Source organism: Homo sapiens, chromosome 16 (genome assembly GCF_000001405.40).
Source record: "Homo sapiens chromosome 16, GRCh38.p14 Primary Assembly".
Classification (NCBI taxonomy): domain Eukaryota; kingdom Metazoa; phylum Chordata; class Mammalia; order Primates; family Hominidae; genus Homo; species Homo sapiens.
In genome coordinates this window covers 21385410-21401843 of record NC_000016.10, presented here as the reverse complement: position 1 = coordinate 21401843, position 16434 = coordinate 21385410, and the positions used below count along the sequence as shown (strand labels likewise).

Sequence of the window (16434 nt, the reverse complement as noted above, 5' to 3'; positions counted from 1 at the left end):
ACTTTTTTGTAGAGATGCACTCCTGGACTCAAGCGATCCTCCTACTTGTCCCGACCACCAGCCTCTTTCTGATAAACATTTACACTGTTTATTATCTGATGCCATTTCTATCTTCTTCCTTGTCGTCCAGACATCAAAGAATTAGGTTTCTTCAGGGTTTTCTTTTTCAAGTGCTCAGTGTTAAAGATCACTCACATTAGGGCCACACACCACGGCTCATGCCTGTAATCCCAGCACTTTGGGAGCCCGAGGCGGGCAAAGCACTTGAGGTGGGGAGTTTGAGACCAGCCCAGCCAACTTGGGGAAACCCCACCTCTACTGAAAAAAATACAAAAATTAGCTGCGCGTCATGGTGCATGCCTGTAGTCCCAGCCACTTGGGAGGCTGAGGCACGAGAATCGCTTGAACCCAGGAGGCAGAGGTTGTAGTGAGCCGAGATCACATCAGCACACTCTAGCCTGGGTGACAGAGCGAGACTGACTCAAAAAATAAATAAAATAAATATCACTTACATTAGATATACCCAAGGGGTGGTCTATAGAGACTTGGAAGCAGTGGTTATTGCAACAGGGGCACGGAAGTCATCTGGCTATGCCAGGATGCCCAGGAGATACTCGGGGTGGGTGGCATGGTGGTGCTGGGGACTCACCGCACAGGACGCTCTGATTGACGCACTGCCAGGAGTAGCGCTCTGTCTTGGGGCTGCAGCCGGCCTCCTCAGCTCGAGTGTAACATCAGTCGTGGCCATGGCAGCACCTGCGGATGTCATATGGGCAGGACAGCAGGTGGGTGAAGCTCTCTCCTGGCCCTCCTCTCTTGCCAGGACTATGGGTGACTGAAGACCCCCAGGGAGGCACAGCATCCTCTTATCTAAGATTTTTTTTTTTTTAAGAGACAGGGTCTTTCTCTGTCGCCCAGGCTGGACTGCAGAGGCACAATCATAGCTCACGGCAGCCTTGAACTCCTGGGCTCAAGCGATCCTCCCACTTCAGTGTCCCAAGTAGCTGAGACTACAGGCACACGCCAGCATGCCCGGCTGGTTTTTTAATTTGTATTTCCTTTGAGACAGCGTATCTCTCTGTTGCTCAGGCTGGAGTGCAATGGCTCAATCAGCTCACTTTAGCCTTGAACTCCCGGGCTCAAGTGATACTGCCACCTCAACCTCCCAAGTCTGCTACTACAGGAACACAAACTCCTTTTTTAAATTTTTTATGGATATGGGGTCTCACTATGTTGCCTAGGCTGGTCTCGAGCTCCCAGGCTCAGCAGTCCTCCTACCTCAGCCTCCCCAAATGCTGGGATTACAGGTGGGAGCTACTGTACGCCTGGCCTTATCTAAGCTGTTTCCCTGAAAATCCCCGTCTTGGGTAATGATTCCATTGGCCCCACCATGCCCTGTCCTGCCTTCCTGGCTGTGCCCAAGCTTGGTCCCTGCCTGCCTGCCTGCCTCCCTCTCTGGGTCTCGAGCTCCTGTGACACATGACTCCTCTCTCTTCCTGGAGTGATCCAAGCCCTGCCACTTCCTGACTTTGCCCACACTGTACCCTCTGCCTGGGGCAACTTCATGTCTGCCCATTGTCCCTTAGGCCTCAGCCCAGGCACAAGCCCCTGCCTCCGGAGGTCATCCAGGCCTCACCAGGCTACACCCTCTCGTAAAATTGGATTCCCTCCCTTCAGGGCAGGTTTATAATGAAATCCTCCTCAGAGGCCAGGTGCGGTGACACCCATCTGTAATCCCAGCACTTTGGGAGGCTGAGGTGGGAGGATCACTTGAGGCCAGGGGGTCGAGACCAGCCTGGGCAACATAAGAGAGACTCTTGTCTCTCTTGTCTCTATAACAAATTTAAAAATTAGCTCACCAGGCCAGGCTCAGTGGCTCATGCCTGTAATCCCAACACTTTGAGAGGCCGAGGCAGGTGGATCACGAGGTCAGGAGTTCGAGAGCAGCCTGACCAACACGGCGAAACCTGTCTCTACTAAACATACAAAATTAGCCAGGCATGGTGGCACGCACCTGTAATCCCAGCTACTCGGGAGGCTGAGGTAGGAGAATTGCTTGAACCCCGGAGGTGGAGGTTGCGGTGAGCCAAGATCACGCCATTGCAGTCCAGCCTGAGCAACAGAGCAAGACTCTGTCTCGAGAGAATAAAAACACACAAAAAATTAACTCGCCAGGATGGCACATGCCTATAGTCCTAACTACTTGGGAGGCTGAGGTGGGAGGATTCCCTTCAGCCCAGGAGTTTGAGGCTGCAGTGAGCCACTGTGATTGTGCCACTGCACTCTAACCTGGGCAAAAGCGAGACCCCAGGCTAGAGTGCATGATTTTGGGTCACTGCAACCTCCACCTCCCAGGTTCAAGTGATTCTCCTGCCTCAGCCTCTTGAGTAGCTGGGACTACAGGCATGTGCCACCACGTCTGGGTAATTTTTGTATTTTTAGTAGAGACAGGGTTTAGTAGAGACCATGGTGAAACCCCATCTCTATTAAACAAATCTCTACTAACCCCATCTCTACAAAAAACGGCTGGGCGTGGTAGTGCACACCTGTAATTCCAGCTACTTGGGAGGCTGAGGCACGAGAATCATTTGCATCTTGGAGGCAGAGTTTGCAGTGAGCTGAGATCGCACCACTGCACTCCAGCCGGGATGACAGAGCAAGACCCTGTCTCAAAAAAAAAAAAAAAAAGAAAAAAGAACAAACAACAGCAACAACAACAAAAACCTCTGTGTCAATCACAGCCTTCGAGCTAGGGGAGAGGCGGCCGAATTCTGCCCTCCGCTAACGAGCTATAGCTTTGTGGAAATGGGCGAGTGGCGTGCCCTTGTGAGCCTCAGGGCCGCATCTGTAAAATGGGCATAACTGTCATGCCTGTCTTTAAGAACAGCCTTGGGGGTAAATGAGTGGAACTCATGGAAAGATCTCAGCCCACAACCTTCCACAGAACAGGCGCTTCTCACACAGTAAGTAGCAGGAGTGCAGAGGCTGCAGGCATGAATCCAGTCAGACTGCAGACTGCCTGGGTTCAAGTCCCAGCTCCCACGTCTTGGTAACTAAGTGGCCTCAGACAAGTTACTTAGTATTTCTTCTTCTTCTTTTTTTTTTTTTTTTTCAGACGGAGTTTTGCTCTGTCACCCAGGCTGGAGTGCAGTGGTGTGATCTCGGCTCACTGCAACCTCCACCTCCCGGGTTCAAGCAATTCTCCTGCCTCAGCTTCCTGAGTAGCTGGAATTACAGGAACCTGCCACCACATCCAGCTAATTTTTGTATTTTTAGTAGAGACAGGGTTTCACCATGTTGGCCAGGATGGTCTCGAACTCCTGACCTCGTGATCTGCCTGCCTCAGCCTCCCAAAGTACTGGGATTATAGGCGTGAGCCACCGCACCTGGACACATTACTTAATATTTCTGTGCCTTGGTTTCTTCATCTGTGAAATGGGATTGTTGTGAGAACGCAAAGGGATTCCCAGGGCAGTTCCTAGTGCATAGTCTGGCTGCCTTTGTGTGTGTGTGTGTGTGTGCATGTGTGTGTGTGTTTAATATAGAGACAGGGTCTCACTATGTTGCCTAGGCTGGTTTCAAACTCCTGGGCTCCAGTGATCCTCCTGCTTCCACCCAAAGTGGTGGGATAACAGGTGTGAGTCACCACACCTGGTCACTTTATATTATTTTTTTCTTTTGAGACAGGGTCTCGCACTGTTGCCCAGGTTGGAATGCAGTGGTGCAATCTCAACTCACTGCAAACTCCACCTCCCGGGTTCAAGTGTTTCTCCTGCATCAGCCTCTTGAGTAGCTGGTACTATAGTCACCCGGCTCCTTGCCTGGCTAAGTTTTGTATTTTTAGTAGAGATGCGGTTTAGTGATTCTCCTGCATCAGCCTCTTGAGTAGCTGGTACTATAATCACCTAGCTCCTTGCCCAGCTAATTTTTGTATTGTTAGTAGAGATGCGGTTTTTTTTTTTTTTTTTGAGATGGAGTTTCGCTCTTGTTGCCTAGGCTGGAGTGCAGTGGTGCTATCTCGGTTCACCACAGCCTCCGCCTCCTGGGTTCAAGCGATTCTCCTCCTCAGCCTCCCGAGTAGCTGGGATTACAGGCATGCGCCACCGCACCTGGCTAATTTTGTATTTTTAGTAGAGACGGGGTTTCCCCATGTTGGTCAGGCTAGTCTCGAACTCCTGACGTCAGGTGATCTGCCTTCCTCGGCCTCCCAAAGTGCTGGGATTACAGGCATGAGCCAGCATGCCAGGCTGGCCCTTTTTTTTTTTTTTTTTTTTAATCACTTAACATATATCTTGGAGAACTTTCCATTTTGGGAGTTAAAGAGATTTGTTTGTTTTGAGACAGGGTCTCCCTCTGTGGCCCAGGCTGGAGCTGGACCTTGGCTCAGTCCAACTTCCACCCCCCGGGCTCAAGCAATCCTCCCACTTCAGCCTTCCAAGTAGCTGGGTCTATGGGCACATGCCACCACATCCCGCTACTTTTTATAGTTTTTGTAGAGATAGGATTTTACCATGTTGCCCAGGCTGGTCTTGAACTCCTGAGCTCAAGTGATCCACCTGCTTCAGCCTCCCAAAGTACTGGGATTACAGGCATGAGCCATCTTGCCCAGCCTGTTTTTTATTCAATATCTACTAAGTGCCAACTACCATAGAGGACATAAAGATGATTCAGTCTCTGCAGAAGTCATTTTCTCTCTCTTTCCTGTTGTACAGCACAAAATTAATGGACTAAATAGTCTGTCACTAGATAAAGAAGCCCTAAGTAATCAGGCACTTGCTGCAGTTTTTACAAAGTTTAAAAAGCCATATGAAACACAGTATACTCCAAGTAATAAGAGGCAAAATATGCGAAGTGTTACTGCTGGGAATTTACGGACTATTCTTTTCTACAATATATCTGCTGTGGTCTGAATGTGTTCCCCAAGATTCATATGTTAAAACTTAACCACCAGTCTGGTAGTATTAAGAGGTGGGGCATCATTAAGTCATGAGGGCATGGGATTAGTAACCTCATAAAAAGGTTGGCAGGAACGAGCTAGGCCCTTTCATTGCCCTTACATCCCTCTGTCACTTGAAGACACAGCACTGGTCCCCCCGGGAGGACATAGCAGCAAGGTGCCATATTGGAAATGGCCACCATGCCCTCACCAGATACCAACCTGCTGGTAACTTAATCTTGGCCTTCCTAGCCTCCAGAACTGTGAGAAAGAAATTTCTGGGTTTTGTTTGTTTGTATGTATGAGACAGGGTCTCTGTCACCTCGGCTGGAGTGCAGTGGCACGATCTCAGCTCACTGCAACCTCTGCCTCCTGGGTTCAAGTGATTCTCCCACCTCAGCCTCCCGAGTAGCTGGGATTACAGGTATGCACCACCACACCCTGCTTTTTTTTTTTTTTCTTAGCGTTGTACAGATAGGGTTTCGTCATGTTGCCCAGGCTGATCTCGAACTCCTAAGGTCACACGATCCACCTGCCCTGGCCTCCCAGCATGCTGGGATTAAAGGCGTGAGCCACTGTGCCTGGCCAAAATTTCCATTTTTTATAAATAACCCAGTCTCTGGTACTTTCTTATAGCCACACGAACAGATAAAGACTGTACCTATCTGTTGGCTGGGCGCAGTGGCTCACGTCTGTAATCCCAGCACTTCGGGAGGCTTAGACAAGTGGATCACGAGGTCAGGAGATCGAGACCATCCTGGCTAACATGGTGAAACCCCGTCTCTACTAAAAATACAAAAAATTTAGCTGGGCGCGGTGGCGGGCGCCTGTAGTCCCAGCTACTCAGGAGGCTGAGGCATGAGAATGGCATGAACCTAGGAGGCGGAGCTTGCAGTGAGCCGAGATCGTGCCACTGCAGTCCGTCCTGGGCGAAAGAGCGAGACTCCGTCTCAAAAAACAAACAAACAAACAAGAGGTCCAGAGTGTGACAACATGGCCTTGCAACCTTGTGCTCAGGGACCCTGGAGCCAGTCCTTCATAGGACTGCTGGAACTCCCCACCCTGGGACTGCAGGCTCTGCCTGGCTGCAATCAAGAATCCCCTGAGGCCAGGTGTGGTGGCTCACGCCTGTGATCCCAGCACTTCGGGAGGCTTAGGTGGGCAGATCACCTGAGACCAGGAGTTCGAGACTAGCCTAGCCAACGTGCTAAAACTCCGTCTCTACTAGAAATACAGAATTAGCCAGGCGTGGTGGCGGGTGCCTGTAATCCCAGCTACTCAGGAGGCTGAGGCAGGAGAAGTGCTTGAACCCGGAAGTGGAGGTTGCAGTGAGCTGAGATTGCGTCACTGCACTCTAGCCTGGGTGACAGAGCAGAATCCGTCTCAAAATAAAGAAAGAAAGAATCCCCTGGGGATCTTGGATTTGATCCTGGTGCCAAGGGAATTGGATTTCCTTGGTCTGGGTAGTGCCTTGGCATGTGTATTACGATTATCATTTGCCAATGATTATGAATTTTTAAATTTCACACAGCTTTGGGGAAGCATAGAATCTGGACTTGTTCAGAACAATCAGCTATTGACACCAGAGGCTGCCTCTGGGTTATAATTGGATAATTATCCCTTCCTGGTGCAGACATTAGTGGCTCTCTTGTGCTTGGCCATGAACCGTTTGCTGTGTCCTCCATGTGGCCAAGCATCAAAAGGATAATGTTTTCATTTTTTAATTTTTGTGGGTAGATAGTAGGCATATATATGTATGGGGTGCATGAGATGTTTTAATACAGGCATGCAATGCATAATAATCACATCAGGGTAAATGGGGATCCATTACATCAAGCATTTATCCTTTGTGTTACAAACAATTCAATTACACTCTTTGAGTTATTTAAAAATGTACAATTGGCTGGGCACAGTGGCTCTCACCTGTCATCCCAGCACTTTGGGAAGCTGAGGCAAGCGAATCACTTGAGGTCAGGAGTTTGAGACCAGTCTGGCCAACATGGTGAAACCCCGTCTCTACTAAAAATACAAAAATTAGCTGGGCGTGGTGGCACTTATCTGTAATCTCAGCTACTTGGGAGGCTGGGGCAGGAGAATCACTTGAGCCCAGGAGTTCGAGACTAGCCTGGGCAATTTAGCAAGACCCCATCTCAAAAACAAAGCTACAGCTTAAAAGAAAATCAGACCATGTCACTCTCTGCTTAAGGCCTTCAAGGGTTTCCTCATGCATTCAGGATAGAATCCGAAGTCCTTAGAATGACCCAGAGGGACTGACACAGTTGGGCCTGGCCTCATCCCATGGCAGTCTCCTGCTCGTTCAATTAGGCTGTGATGCACTAGTCCCTCCCCCACGTGCTCCCCAGATTTATTTCATTTTATTTTATATTTTTTTGAGACAGGGTCTTGCTCTGCTGCCCAGCCCGGAGGGCAGTGGTGTGATCATAGCTCACTGCAGCCTCGAACTGCTGGGCTCAAGCTATGCTCCCACCTCAGCCCCTCAAAATATGATGATTACAAGCATGAGCTACTGCACCCAGCCCCTAGCTTTAAATATTTAAAGCATCTAAACATAGAAGAGTTGAAAAAGTGGTATAATTGTCACTCATACACCTATCCTGAAATTCAATAATTACCATTTTGTCATATTTTCTTTGTCTGTGTGCATGTGTGTATTTTGCTGAAATGTTAATTAATTTATTTATTTGAGATGGAGTCTCGCTCTAATGCTCAGGCTGGAGTGCAGTGGCATGATCTTGGCCCACTGCAACCTCCGCCTCCTGGGTTCAAGTGATCCTCCTGCCTCAGCCTCTTGAGTAGCTGGAATTATAGGCACCTGCCACCATGCCCAGCTAATTTTTTGTATTTTTTGTAGAGACGAGGTTTCATCATGTTGGCGAGACTGGTCTTGAACTCCTGACCTCAAGTGATCCGCCTGCCTCGGCCTCCCAAAGTGCTTGGATTTCAGGCGTGAGCCACTGCGCCTGGCCAACATTTAAAAGTTAGTTGTAAGCCAGGCATGGTGGTGTGGGCCTGTAGTCCCAGCTATTGGAGAGGCTGAGGCAGGAGGATCGCTTGATCTCAGGAGTTTGAGGCTGCAGTGAGCTACGATCATGCCACTGCACTCCAGCCTGGGTGACAGAGCAAGACCCTGTCTCTAAAATAATAATAATAATAAATAAGTGAAATAAAAGTTAGCTGTAGATATCATGTCACTTGACCCCTATAATGACTTCAATGTGAATCTCCTAAAAATAAAGACATCTTCCCTTATAGCCAGCCACATGTCACCACCCTACCCAAGAAAATCAATAGAAATTTTCTAATATTGAGTCCACGTTCAAATGAACCCAATTATTCCCTGAATGCATTTTAAAGATGTTTAATTTCCAAATCAGGACCCAATCAGGTTTGCACATTGTGGTTGGCTCCAGTGTCTCTTTGGAGTCTCCTAGTCTGGAACTGGCACTTCACAGTGTGGTTTGGGACCAGCGGCATGAGCATCACCTGGGAATTTGCTAGAAATGCAACTTCACAGGCCTCACTCCCAACCTGAATCAAATTCTGGGGTGGGGTCCAGGAATCTGTTTTAACAAGCCAGGTGATTTTTTTTTTTTTTTTTTTTGAGACAGGGTCTCGCTCTGTCACCCAGGCTGGAGTGCAGTGGCATGATCTCAGCGCACTGCATCCTCCGCCTCCCAGGTTCAGGTGATTCTCCTGCCTCAGCCTCCCGAGTAGCTGGGACTACAGGTGCCTGCCACCACGCCCAGCTAATTTTTGTATTTTTAGTAGGGATGGGGTTTTGCTATGTTATTCAGTCTGGTCTGGAACTTCTGACCTCAAGCAATCTGTCCACCTCAACCTCCCAAAGTGTTGGGATTATAGGCATGAGCCACTGTACCTGGCCTCAGCTAGTTATCTTCATGGCTGTCTCTTCCTTTTATTTTATTTAATAATAATAATATTATTATTTTTGTGGAGATAGGGTCCCACTATGTTGCCTAGGCTGCCCTTGAACTCATGGCCTCAAGTGATTCTCTTGTCTTGCCTCCCAAGGCCCTAGAATTACTGATGTGAGCCACTGTGCCTGGGCTTTCTTAGTTCTGTGCTCATTAGTTCTTCTCTCTTTCTCTCCCTCCGTCTCTCTATTTTCCCCCTTTCCCTCTCTTCTGTTCCCTCTCTCCTCTGCAAAGAAACTGATTCCTCCCTTCCTGGGCACGTATTTCCCAGCCTTCATTGCTGTTAGATGTGCTCATGTGACTGGTTCTTGCTGATGGAAGGTGGGTGGAAATGACGCGGTCCCCTGTCTGGGGCTGAGATGGTTAAGATCATGGATCTGTCTTCTCCTGTCTGCATTGTTTGCTATCTACCAGCCGAGGCCCCGAGAGACAGCAGAACCACAAGGTAGCAGTCCCTGAATCGCCATGTGGCACATCTGCCTTAGACTGTTATCTGAGCAGGTAATAAACTTCTGTGATGTTAAGCCACAGAGATTTCGGGGCTTATCTGTTCCAGCAGCCAGCATTACCGTAAGTAACAAACACATGGACTCTCTCTGCTTCTCTAGGCTTTCAACTAAACACAGCTGCCCCATGACTCCTAAGTTCTTATATTTTTAATTATAGAGGATATCGATTGGCTTCTCATCCAATTGTAACCCTCCAGGAGAGGCTGTAATGGGCCCAGCTTGGGACTCCTTGGAACCACTCCTAAAATGATCAGCTATGGCTGGTGGGGACAGTACTATGATTTGGAGATGACAGGAGGGCCCTCCACCCTTCCCTGCCAGTGAAAGGTAGGGCCATTCTTTTTTTTTTTTAATTATTATTATTTTTAATAGAGCTGAAATCTCATTATGTTGCCCAGGCTGGTCTTGAACTCCCCAGCTCAAGAGGCAGGGCCGGGCGTGGTGGCTCATGCCTGTAATCCCAGCACTTTGGGAGGCAAGGCAGGCGAGGAGGATCACCTGAAGTCAGGAGTTCAAGACCAGCCTGGCCAACATGGCGAAACCCTTTCTCTACTAAAAATGCAAAAATTAGCTGGGTGTGGTGGCAGGCGCCTGTAATCCCAGCTACTTGGGAGGCTGAGGCAGGAGAATCTCTTGAACCCAGGAAGTGGAGGTTGCAGAGAGCTGAGATTGCACCATTGCACTCCAGCCTGGGCGACAGAGTGAGACTCCATCTCAAAAAAGAAAAAAGAGGCATCAGGTCATCCTGCCTGTGACAGGAGGGCACTGCAAAATTACATGGCCAAGGGCATGGGTAGGGGGAAGGGTGAAGAGTTAGGGCCAAATAATGTAAACCTTACCTAATTTCCCACTGGAGAACACCCCCTTTCAGTCAATTACTTTGGGTGGGGCTCCAGCTCAGGGGTGGAGCAGGTGACAAAGACCTCAGCCAATCAGAGAACAACTTTGCCCATTTGGGACTACAGGCATGCACCATCATGCCTGCTAATTTAAAATATTTTTTGTAGAGGCCAGGCACCGGTGGCTCATGCCTGTAATCCCGGCACTTTGGGAAGCCGAGGCAGGCAGATCACGAGGTCAAGAAATCGAGACCATCCTGGCCAACATTGTGAAACCCTGTCTCTACTAAAAATACAAAAATTGGCTGGCCCTGTTGGTGCACGCCTGTAGTCCAGCTACTCGGGAGGCTGAGGCAGGAGAATCGCTTGAGCCCGGGAGGCAGAGATTGCAGTGAGCCAAGATTGCACCACTGCACTCCAGCCTGGGCGACAGTGCGAGACTCTGTCTCGAAAAAAAAAGAATTTTTTTTTTTTTTTGTAGAGGCAGGGTTTTGCTATGTTGCCCAGATTGGTCTTGAACCCCTGGGCTCAAGCGATCTGTCCACCTCAGCCTCCCAAAGCGCTGGAACTACAGGCATGAGCCACTGTGCCTGGTTGACTTTTCCTTTCCAAATGAACAAGTTTGGGTTGAGTTTTCAGTCACTGAGACCAAACTGGTCCCAATGAGTACACCAGTAATCTTAGCCTCAGAGGTGTGCATCTACTCACAGAAGGGCTCAGTGGCTTCCAGTGTTCAAGGTTACTGGATTGCACAGGAGCTGTTATAGGACAAGCCCCGTGGATACTGGTGGCTCAGAGGTCTTACAGATGAGGTTTCACTGGGAACCAATCAGAACTCCCTTATTTGCAAGTAACAGACACCAAACTCGAATGGACTTGTGAGAATATGTTGGCTCATGTAATTGAAAAAGCCACTTGGGGCTGGGCGCAGTGGTTCACACCTGTAATCCCAGCACTTTGGGAGGCCAAGGTGGGGCAGATCACGTGAGGTCAGGAGTGCAAGACCAGCCTGGCCAACATGGTGAAACCCTGTCTTTACTAAAAATACAAAAATTAGTCGGGTGTGTTGGTGCGCGCCTGTAATCCCAGCTACACGGGAGGCTGAGGCAGTAGAATCACTTGAACCCGGGAGGCAGAGGTTGTAGTGAGCTGAGATCGTGCCATTGCACTCCAGCCTGGGTGACAGAGTGTGCTCCGTTTCGAAAAAGAAAGAAAAGAAAAGAAAAGAAAAAGCCATTTGGATTTCAGACACAGATCCTAGTACTCATATAATGCAATCAGAATCCATCTCTCCTCATCTCCTGGCCCTGCTTCATTTACTCTGTGCCGGCTTCATGCCTGGCCAGAATCTCCCTAAGCGGTGGCAAAGGCAGCCACCAGCAAGTCCAGGCTTACATCCCACATGCTTAGCAACTGCAGTGAAAAGAGAACACATTTTCCCCTAATAGGTACACAAAGCCAGGAGCAGCCTAGCTTGGGCTAGGGGCACACAGCTGCTGCTCCGGGATGGAATGTGCTGATTGGCTAGACCTGGGTCATGTGGCCACCCCACAGAGTGAAGGGGTGGGGTCGGCCTCCGCTGAAGGAAGGACTGGTTCAAAGGAAGCTTGGGGTGCTATCACACAAAGCAGAACGAGTGGATGCTGAACAGGCAAAAATAGCAGACGTCCGCTACATCTCATTACTCTTAGCATCTTGTGGTCCTTATTACAATTGTAATGAACTATCACTCCAAATCCTCTACCTTCTACAATCACCTCCCATTTTCCTTTTTTTAAAAAAAGTATCATTATTATTTTTTGTCTCTGTCAAAAAAAAATAATTATTATTATTATATTGTCGCCCAGGCTGGAGTGCAGTGGTGCGATCTTGGCTCACTACAACCTCCGCCTCCCGGGTTCAAGTGATTTTCCTGTCTCAGCCTCCTGAGTAGCTGGGATTACAGGCAGCCACCATTGTGCCCGGCTAATGTTTGTAGTTTTAGTACATGTTAGCCAGGCTGGTCTCAAACCCCTGACCTCAAGTGATCCACCCAGCTCGGCCTCCCAAAGTGCTGGGATGACAGGCATGAGCCAACGTGTTCAGCTAATTTTTGTATTTTTAGCAGAGATGGGGTTTTGACATGTTGGCCAGGCTGGTCTTGAATTCCTGACCTCAGGTGATCCGCCCCCCTGGGCCTCCCAAAGTGCTAGGATTATAGGTGTGAGCCACGGTGCCCGGCCCCATTTTCCTTTACCATCAACATTGAATGACTTTAGCCCACATACTAAGAAAAACCAAGGCCTGGCGTGGTGGCTCATGCCTGTAATCCCAGCACTCTACAAGGCTGTAGTGGGAGGATGGCTTGAGGCCAGGAGTTTGAGACTAGTCTGGGCAACATAGCAAGACCCTGTCCCTACAAAATAGAAATGAAGACATTAGCCAGGCCTGGTGGTGTGTGCCTATAGTCCCAGCTGTCTCAAAGGCTGAGGCAGGAGTGTCAGAGGCATTTGAACCTGAGCGACTCTATCTTGAATAGGGGCTGGGTAAAATAAGGCTAAGACCTGCTTGGCTGCATTCCCAGGAGGTTAAGGCATTCTAAGTCACAGGATGAGACAGGAGGTTGGCACAAGATACAGGTCATAAAGACCTTGCTGATAGACCAGTTTGTAGGCCAGGCACGGTGGCTCACCCCTGTAATCCAAGCACTTTGGGAGGCTGAGGCGGGCAGATCACCTGAGGTCAGGAGTTTGAGACCAGCCTGACAAACATGGAGAAACCCGTCTCTACTACAAAAATACAAAATTAGCAGGGCATGGTGGCACATGCCTGTAATTCCAGCTACTCAAGAGGCTGAGGCAGGAGAATCGCTTGAGCCCAAGAGGTGGAGGTTGCGGTGAGCTGAGATTGTGCCATTGCACTCCAACCTGGGCAACAAGAGTGAAACTCTGTCTCAAAGAAAAAAAGAAAAGGGCCGGGTGCAGTAGTTCATGCCTGTAATCCCAGCACTTTGAGAGGCCGAGGCAGGTGGATCACGAGGTCAGGAGTTCAAGACCAGCCTGGCCAATATGGTGAAACCCCGTCTCTACTAAAAATACAAAAATTAGCTGGGTGTGGTGACGTGCACCTGTAGTCCCAGCTACTCGGGAGGCTGAGGCAGAAGAATTGCTTGAACGTAGGAGTCGGAGGTTGCAGTGAGCCAAGATCATGCCACTGCACTCCAGCCTGGATGACAGAGTGAGACTCCATCTCAAAAAATAATAATAAAAATAAAAAATAAATAAATTAATTAATTAATAATAACAATAAAAAATGTTCAAAAAGGAAAACCAGGCCCCCTCCACAATGTCTCTGAGGCATCCCAAGATGGGGCTCCCCATCTCCTGAGTCCACCATGCTCAGCCCACTTCCTGGCTGTCCTTCTCTGCTCTTGGCCTCTGGAGCCATTGCCCCCTTTCTTCGCCTCCAAATCAAAACCTCTGTTTTTGTCCATTGCACCAAATCTCCACTAACCCAAGGCTGGGTGAGGAACAGTCTCCTCCCCTCAGCTGCCAGTAATTACCTCTAAATTACTTTTCTTACACCCACATTTCCACCCTAAACCAGACACTAGATGGGTGTATAGATGTTGACATTTCAGAGAGAGAGATGCTGTTTGGTGACTCTCCCATGGTGACGTGACCGTAAGTTGAGTAGTCATCTATGGCTCTGTGTGAAGGGTGTCATGGGGTCTGCGATCACTCCTTCCACTAGCCCTTGCTTTGGCCCACTTAGCTGTGACTGCTGAGGAGTTGGGAAAATTTGCATAGGCCTCAAGGAGTGTCTTGGGAAAAAAGGAATCAAGGCTACAACTCTCTTTCCTTCTGAAGTTTAATTTATTTTATTATTTTATTTTATTTATTTTAATTTTTTGAGATGGAGCTTTGCTCTATCACCCAGGCTGGAATGCAATGGTGTGATCTCGGCTCACTGCAACCTCCACCTCCTGGGTTCAAGTGATTCTCCTGCTTCAGCCTCCCCAGTAGCTGGGATTACAGGTGCCTGCCACTATGCCTGGCTAATTTTGTAGTTTTAGTAGAGATGGGGTTTCACCATGTTGGCCAGGCTGGTCTCAAACTCCTGACCTCAAGTGATCTACCCCCCTCAGCTTCCTGAAGTGCTGGGATTACGGGTGTGAGCCACTGCACCCGGACTTGAAGTTTAATGTTTTTTTTATTTTTTATTTTTGAGACGGAGTTTCACTCTTGTTGCCCAGGCTGGAGTGCAATGGTGCGATCCATAAGATTTAGGTCAAATAGAGAGATACATTTCTGTATATTCATTTTACACTTTTTATTTTTTGTAGAGACGGAGTTCTTGCTATGTTGCCCAGGCTGGTATCAAACTCCTGGCCTTAAGCAATCCTCCCAACTCAGCCTCCCAAAGTGCTGGGATTACAGGCATGAACCACTGCACCTGGCCTCATTTTACACTTTAATGGACTGGATTTTGCAGTAGTCATGATTAGGAGGGCACTGTGCACCACAAAGCCTAAGAGGTAACTAGCTTATTTGGGGTATTTTGGGAATTTTTTTTTTTTTTTTTTTTTTGAGAAGGACCTTCTCTCTTGTTGCCCAGGCTGGAGTGCAATGGTGTCATCTTGGCTCTGCCTCCCATATTCAAGCGATTCTCCTGCCTCAGCATCCCAAGTATCTGGAGTTACAGGCATGCACCACCATGCCTGGCTAATTTTGTATTTTTTTAGTAGAGAAGGGGTTTCACCATATTGGTCAGGCTGGTCTCAAACTCCTGACCTCAGGTGACCCACCCAACTTGGTGTCCCAAAGTGCTGGGATTACAGGTGTGAGCCACTGCGCCTGGCCAACTCCACTGTTAAGGCAGCAGGTGCAGTGGATATTACAGCTATTCACACCCCTGCAGATAAACACAGAAGTCACCATACCACAACTATTCTCCTAACGCTGCCTTCGTCCTGAGCTTCCTGTGCTAGTGGCAAGTCAGATGCAAGGAAAATCCAGAGTAAAAATAAAAAACAATAACAGGCACAGTCTCATCAGACTGTGAAACCCTGTGAACCCTGTGAAATGAAAATTACAGATGTATGTATAAAGCAAGAATTTCAAGGCACACATTCTGACATTAACTTTGTATTAAGTGCCCTCAAATGTACTCTCTTCCCCTCTTTCAGTTCTCAAGGGAAGAGCAAATAACACTCCTTCCAAATAACACTCCTAAATCAACACCTGAAGAATGAATGATACCCTGGGCAAATATAAAACTTGCAGACCTATTTCACCCAATACCATAGAAAGAGAAAACGGTGAACTTAACCCCCTCATTAAAAGCACAAGGGGAGGCTGGGCTTGGTGGCTCATGCCTGTAAACCTAGCACTTTGGGAGGCCAAGGCAGGCGGATCACTTGAGGTCAGGAGTTTGAGACCAGCCTGGCCAATATGGTGAAACCCCATCTCTACTAAAAATACAAAAATTAGCTGGGTGTGGTGTCAGGTGCCTGCAATCCCAGCTACTCGGGAGGCTGAGGCAGGAGAATCGCTTGAACCCGGGAGGTGGAGGTTGCAGTGAGCTGAGATCACGCCACGGCACTCCAGCCTGGGGGACGGTGAGACTCCATCTTACATACAAACACACACACACACACACACACACACACAGAAGCGTGAGGGGAACTTACTTCTCGGGCGACTCTGAGTGGCCCCTGTGCTTCCGTCCTGATGAGTTTCCATACACGTCATCTTCGTTTTCATCCACATCTTCATCATCGATGCTTTTCACATCAAGCTTCTGGTACCCAAACTCCCTGTTCAAAGACAGGGAATCAATTTTCCACGAGTTGCTGCTCTGACTTCCATTGGAGTTTGGCCCGAAGGGGCTTTCAAAGGCGGACATGATATTGACAGAGGAGCGGTCGGAGTTGTCCTCTGAGCTCTCCCCTGCCCCAGGTGTCTTTTTAAACATGTCCCCAGAGTTCTGCTCATCTTCCTCATCATCAAATGAGTTAATGTTGGTCACTTGCTTTTTCTTCTTCCGCTCCTTTTTGCATTTGGCATCTGGCAAAAAAAAAAAAAGAAAAAAAAGAAAAGATACAGTATAAGAAAAAGTAGGCAAGACAAAAGGATGATGAAACCAACTCACTTCCAGGTTGTGGAAAATACTATTCTAGTGAGAAATACACTGTAACATGAATTCAGACTTTT

General features: G+C 48.5%; 1 pseudogene across 1 annotated transcript in view; it reads right to left on the bottom strand.

Moving 5' to 3' along the window:
• Positions 1-15910: 15910 nt before the first annotated feature.
• The window catches only part of SNX29P1 (sorting nexin 29 pseudogene 1), a 36571-nt pseudogene continuing 36047 nt past the window's right edge, over positions 15911-16434 (bottom strand). Inside the window, exon 6 of the transcript NR_045011.1 lies at positions 15911-16287. The product of NR_045011.1 is annotated as a sorting nexin 29 pseudogene 1 (transcript). The remainder of the gene's footprint in view (positions 16288-16434) is intronic.